General features: G+C 41.8%; 1 annotated feature.

The window, feature by feature from the left end:
- Positions 5702-5871: an enhancer, noted in NCBI's record as "active region_20120". NCBI's record gives its function as "activates an Ori minimal core promoter by ATAC-STARR-seq in GM12878 lymphoblastoid cells {active_cell/tissue: GM12878}" and the evidence as "EXISTENCE:reporter gene assay evidence [ECO:0000049][PMID:35858748]".

The following is a 6407-nucleotide window of genomic DNA, read 5'->3' as shown; positions in this document are numbered from 1 at the left end:
AACACGGCAGCAATTATTGTCACCCATACACACGTATAATAAGCATAAGAATTATTTTAACCTTGTATGTGATTTTTCACAATAAATTTTTATCTAAAATATAACAACTGCTGGCAGGGCGCGTTGGCTCATGCCTGTAATCCCAGCACTTTGGGAGGCCGAGGTGGGCAGATCACTTGAGTCTAGGAGTTCAAGACCAGCCTGGCCAACATGGTGAAACCCCGTCTCTACTAAAAATACAAAAATTAGCCCGGTGTGGTGGCACGTGCCTGTAATCCCAGCTTACACAGGAGGATGAGGCACTAGAATCCCTTGAACCAGGAAGGTGGAGATTGCAGTGAGCTAAGTTCACACCACTGCACGCCAGCCTGGGCAACAAAGAGAGACTCTGTCTCAAAAATAAATAAATAAGTAAAAATAAATAAAATATAACAACTGCTGAGAAGAATGTCTTGGTATATTGACATTCCGTTCTTAAGGTGTAAAGTCTGCAGCTTGACTTTTGTTAGCATGCTGTCTTCAGGATGACACTCTGAATAAAGGACATTTTTTGATGAGTTCTTCTTTCAAAATGAAGGAACATAAAACTCATAATTTGAAGCTATTTTGAGTACCGCATGTCTATGTTTCTTATGCTTATATTAGAATAATAACTTTTCATTCTACTTTAAATATTCTGATTTAAAGATGCCAGCCCTATTGTCATGAAGCATGTATATGTGAGGTATGCTTGTTTTCCAACAGCCACTGAAATAAAACAATGGAATTTCGAACAAGTTTCTATTGTAGTCATAAATGTCATTGTATAGTGAGAATCCTGGATTCGCCACCAACTCTGTGACTTCTTATGCTGACATGATTGAGTGTCCAGCCTCTCTGGGTTTCAGTTTACTCCCCTTAAGATGAGGACTGGTTTGGATAACCTCTAAGGTTTTTCCAGCTCTCAGGGTCTGTGTAAACTGAGAACCAGTCGAGCCATATGAAACCACTAATAATTCAGGCAGAATGGCCTTTTTTATTGTAAATCTACATAGCTAAGAATATTTCTGAGGCTTCTGAAATTCTAATCACGAGTCATTATAGGTAGTGATGTAGGAGTCACAGAGCAAGCCAAATTACATACAATTATTGTTTAAAAAATACAAAACACAGGCAAGAGAAAGAGGAAAATATAAACCATCCATAATCTTAGCTTCCAAATGTCAATATTCTTAAGATTTTAGTGAGTAAAAGAACGAGGAGGTAGAAGAGTGCTTGAGAAGATGGTGGAGAGAAGAGACAGACAGAGTGGGTGATGAAGCTAATAAACAATACAGCCAGCAGAGATGCGGCTGTATATACTGTATATATAGATGTAAATGATGTAAGATGGTATAGATACAGCATATTATTCTCATTTTTTAACTTTATTTAGTACTTAAAAATAAATATTTTCTAAGGTTAAATTTTTTAGAAGCATCATGATTAAGGACGGCTATACATAAAAGTTCTATATATGCTATAGATATATGTATTCTATATATGTGTATATCTAGATACATATTTATCGATTTTTTTAAATTGTATAGTAAATATCCTAAAGCTAAATGTTTATATGCATCCATAATTTTAGGTTAAATTCCTATACACAAAAAATCATACGGGAATGCTATGCAACAGTTTATGACTTCTGCTCACAATTGACAAGTCAAGAATAAATTAATACTTTGTTAAAGACCTGAGCCACAATTAGGATAAAGTTATGTTGTCGCTAATACAAAGGGAAGGCAGAAGTGAGGAAGCCTCTTGTCCTATCTTGACCTTCATGGTTTCACAATTAGAATTCTGTCTCCTGAAGAGAGATTCAGGTTGGTCCTGCTGAGATGTGAGAAGTCAGGATTATTTGTGAAGTGTCCTGATATAAGGTGACAGAAGCTGTCCTCATTTAATTCATCACCATTCAGTTCTGGATGGAAGGGAGGCAGGAGAAGGAGCACATCAGAGGCCAATCTTCAATATTGCTTTCAGGAGTTCTTCATTTCCGTCCAAAGAAGAAAGCAAAAAAGATAACAGAAGCAAGAACTCTGCAAGAGCGTAGACAGGCCTTTCAATAAATTCACAAAAGAAAGCTACACTCTCGATTTTTAATTTTCAGCCTCTTTGCCCCAATTGTAAAATAAATAACTTATCCAAGCCACCTCTTGAGTTCAGTGTTTCATCTTTGAAGGCTTCTATGAGTTTCAAAGAAGTACATTCACAGACTTTATTTTTCTGATTATTAAAAGTGAAATATCAAGACTTTTCTGATCAGAAGGTCATCTGTTATGATGATTTTGCACTACATTTTTGGGCACACAAATGTTGAGGACACTCCCCTGGGGTGGCTTCTTGAAGAGTTTCAGATTCTGGGATTCGCAATCCCATCTTGATGGCTTCTTCCTCTCACAGTCCACTAAATACTCAGGATCTTACCCTTCATTTTCTTAGACTAGCAGGTGTCCTTAAGCATTGCAAGGGAGGAGCACTGCAGGTGAAAAAAAAAAAGCAGCCCTATTTTTTTCTCCTTTTCTCCTGCTCCTCTAACTAAGTCCTGAATTTTATTTTTTTCGAGGCAAACACCAGTTAACTTTCTACATTCAAGGAGTCTGAACCTCCCTTTCCTGTGAGTAAGGCATTGATGAACTTTAAGAGCAGCCTAACTGCCTAGGTAGCTCCATAGAAAGCATGCATGTCATCATTCTCTAGAATATGTATGCAAGATGGAAGTATATTTATGCAGGCCACCAGGTCTGTCTGGGAAGGGATTCAGGGACATCTGTTCCCTTAGTGCCCAGAATAAAAGCAGTGGTTTTTGTTTTTGTTTTTGTTTTTGTTTTTGTTTTTGTTTTGAGACGGAGTCTTGCTCTGTCACCCAGGCTGGAGTGCAGTGGCGCGATCTCAGCTCACTGCAAGCTCCGCCTCCTGGGTTCGAGCGATTCTCCTGCCTCAGCCTCCTGAGTAGCTGGGATTACAGGCACGTGCCACCATGCCCCCGCTAATTTTTGTATTTTCAGTAGAGACGGGGTTTCACTTTAAGGAGTGTGGAGTGAGCTGCTCTGTGAAGAAGAGGAAGGAAGGAAGGAAGGAAGGAAGGAAGGAAGGAAGGAAGGAAGGAAGGAAGGAAGGAAGGAAGGGAGGGAGGGAGGGAGGGAGGGAGGGAGGGAGGGGCTCATGGATAAGATTCTGGCATTAAGAGACAGGAGAAGCAATAATCAGATGCACTATCCTAAGCAGGGGAGGGGGCTTAAGGAGGATGACTGAGTAGAGTGAAATGGGAAGAATTATTTTAAGACCTTTGTTCTTCCAACAAAGAATTTGCAGTCACCAGCTCCAACAGGGAGGGACTGGTGATACTTAGAGTGCTGGAAATGTTTCTGGAGGAAGCCTCAGGAAGTCACAGAAAGCAAAGGAAACTGCAGTAACTACATACTGTAAACAAGGAGCAAAGTAGCCATGCCATGACAATATGATGAGCAGACGACACCTGTAAAAGCCATATGGCAGATTTCTTCTCTGTAGCCCACTCCACTGTGGAAAGATTTTATTTTAATCAAGGATGTAAATTATAAGTACTCATCATGGGACACAGGTGGTGTGAGACAATAGGCCTTGGAGTGCTGTATTTCTCTTTTTATTAACTTGTGTGTGTATAGTATTCATTCTAAGCAGAGCCTTATATTGAAGCATTATACCCAGTTGTGTGAAAGTAGAGAAGTTAGAAAGTGAGGGAAGTGTCTGTTTCCTGGAAGAGAGGCCATTCCAGGTTTCTGAGGAAGAATTGACATGTAACATGTTTTATCCTCCAAAGAAATAACTCACAGGGCTTTCCTGTCAATGGCTTTTTTTTTTTTTGGCCATAAAAACTAGTAGAAATTCAACATAATCAGAAAGGAGGCTGGGCACAGTGGCTCACATCTGTAATCCTAGAACTTCAAGAGGCTGATGCGGGTGGATCACCTGAGGTCAGGAGTTTGAGACCAACCTGGCCAACGTGGCAAAATCCTGTCTCTATTAAAAGTTCAAAAATTAAATAATTAGCAGGGCATGGTGGTGGCACCCATAATCCCAGCTACTTGGGAGAGTGAGGCAGGAGAATCGCTTGAACCTGGGGGGTGGAGGTTTCAGTGAGCCAAGATGGCGCCAATTCACTCCAGCCTGGGTGACAGAGCAAAACTCTGTCACACACACAAAAAAAAAAAGAAAAGAAAAAGAAAACTAACCTGAAAGAATAAAAGAAATGCTGATGTAACTTTGTGATATGAGGAACTTGAATATTTGTGACAATGAAAGGAAACTAGAGCTCTTCTGGAATTTGTTAAGCAAGATGGGTAATATAATCTAATGAATGAAAAGGGTAACAACTGATGTTCTCACCAGGCTTGCCAAGAGACAATGTGACTGCTTTAAAGAAAGTAAGATTGGGCCAGGCACAGTGGCTCACGCCTGTAATCCCAGCACTTTGGGAGGCCGAGGCGGGAGGATCACGAAGTCAGGGGTTCAAGACCACCCTGGCCAAGATGATGAAACCCTGTCTCTACTAAAAATACAAAAATTAGCTGAGCATGGTGGCAGTCACCCGTACTCCCAGCTACTCAGGAGGCTGCAGCAGGAGAATCACTTGAACCTGGGAGGTGGAGGTTACAATGAGCTGAGACTGCACCACTGCACTCCAGCCTGGGTGACAGAGCGAGACTCCATCTCAAAAAAAAGAAAGTAAGACTAATGATGACTTTAAACAAGGGAATATTTTACATTTTTGTTGGAGTGCTTTGTCCTGCAAGTAAGTGAAATCACAACCCCAAGTAGCCTAAATATAAGGGTATGTGCTTCTCCCCACCCTCACCCCTCACAACCTCATTTGAGGACCACAGCAGGGTTGGTCAAATCAAGGGCATGATGATGTCATCAAAAATCCAGTTTCTGACCGAGCGCAGTGGCTCACACCCATAATCCCAGCACTTTGGGTGGCCAAAATGGGCGGATCACTTGAGCCCAGACGTTTGAGACCAGCCTAGGCAACATAGCAAGACCCTCATATCTACTTAAAATTAAAAAAAGAAATCCAGGTTCTTTCCTTGGCTTTTCCCATTGGCTAAAAATGAACCCTGTAGTTCTGGGGGTTACATGTATGGTATTAACATTCAGAGTCAGAAAAGGGAAGACTCATTCATTCACTGCTTTTTATGACTAAAGAGCTGTTTCCCAGGAACCCCCTGTAGCAATCTGAATCTAATCAGGAGATAGAAATCACACAGTAGGTTAAATATAGAAAGTTTAAAATAAAAATTATTAGCTATAATAAAAGTGACTTTAAGACATGGACAATCTGAGGAATCCAGGCCTTGTTGGAAAAGGTGTGCTTCAGCCACTGGATAGCAAGAAAGTTAGCTAGTTTAGCCAGACCTGCACTGATCTAGAGTTGCTAGGCAAACAGGCAGCCCCAACCCCACCCCCACCCACCCAGTGGAGGGCAAAGACCTTCAGCAGCCCCAACCCCACCCCCACCCACCCAGTGGAGGGCAAAGACCTTCAGAGCTTGTGGGCTGGTGGGAATGGGCTTGCACAGGGGGCTACCCCTTGGGTCCCAGGCAGCTGCATGCAGACCAGCCAGCTCATCTCCAGGCCAAGACGACAAGGTCACAGAGAAATCGTGTTCTGAACCTGTGGCTCAGGCAGGTTCCACTCCAAGTACCCACAACCACACAGTCGCTCCTCAGCTCAGGCTGCAATTGCATGAAGCCTCTGCCTCCTACGATGTTTCTCCAGCGCCCTCTACTGAGAATGCTTAGTGTCATACTTACTTTAAAGAGAAAATCTTAAAGGAATTCTGTTATTGATCATAGAGCATGTATCGAAGGATGCATTCAGAGCTGAGGCAATAAATTAAGAGCTGACACATCCCCAGATGACTTTTCCTTCTATCTCATTGGCCAGAACACATGACATGCACATGCTTAAACCAATAACTGGGTGAACTGAATCACCATTACTTAAGACACATCCCCCAGGGCTGAAAAGGAGGAGCTCTCTTTCAGAAGCACATGGCCCACGATGACATTCAGGGCTCTGTCCTTAGGAGGAAGCCTGAGAACGACACGGGTCCACAGCTGAGAGTGTGTGCCACCATGCACCTTCTGTTCGAATGGTTTTGGATACCACAGTCAGAAAATGAATGGCAGAAACCCAGAGGCCATTGTATCCTAAAAATAAGAAAATGATGCCTGAAGCATCACTATAGCAAAAGTATCTGAAAACAGATGATACCTGAAAATAGAACCTTACAATACTTAAGTAACTGAGGTTAGTCAGAAGACTATGTAACATTTTCATGCTGTGAAAATTATCACTGTCTGGAAACTAAAGTTTTCTTATAAGAAGCAAGAATATTA

The sequence above is a fragment of the Homo sapiens genome, chromosome 3 (genome assembly GCF_000001405.40).
Source record: "Homo sapiens chromosome 3, GRCh38.p14 Primary Assembly".
NCBI classification, from domain to species: Eukaryota; Metazoa; Chordata; class Mammalia; order Primates; family Hominidae; genus Homo; species Homo sapiens.
This window is presented reverse-complemented; position numbering and strand designations above follow the sequence as displayed.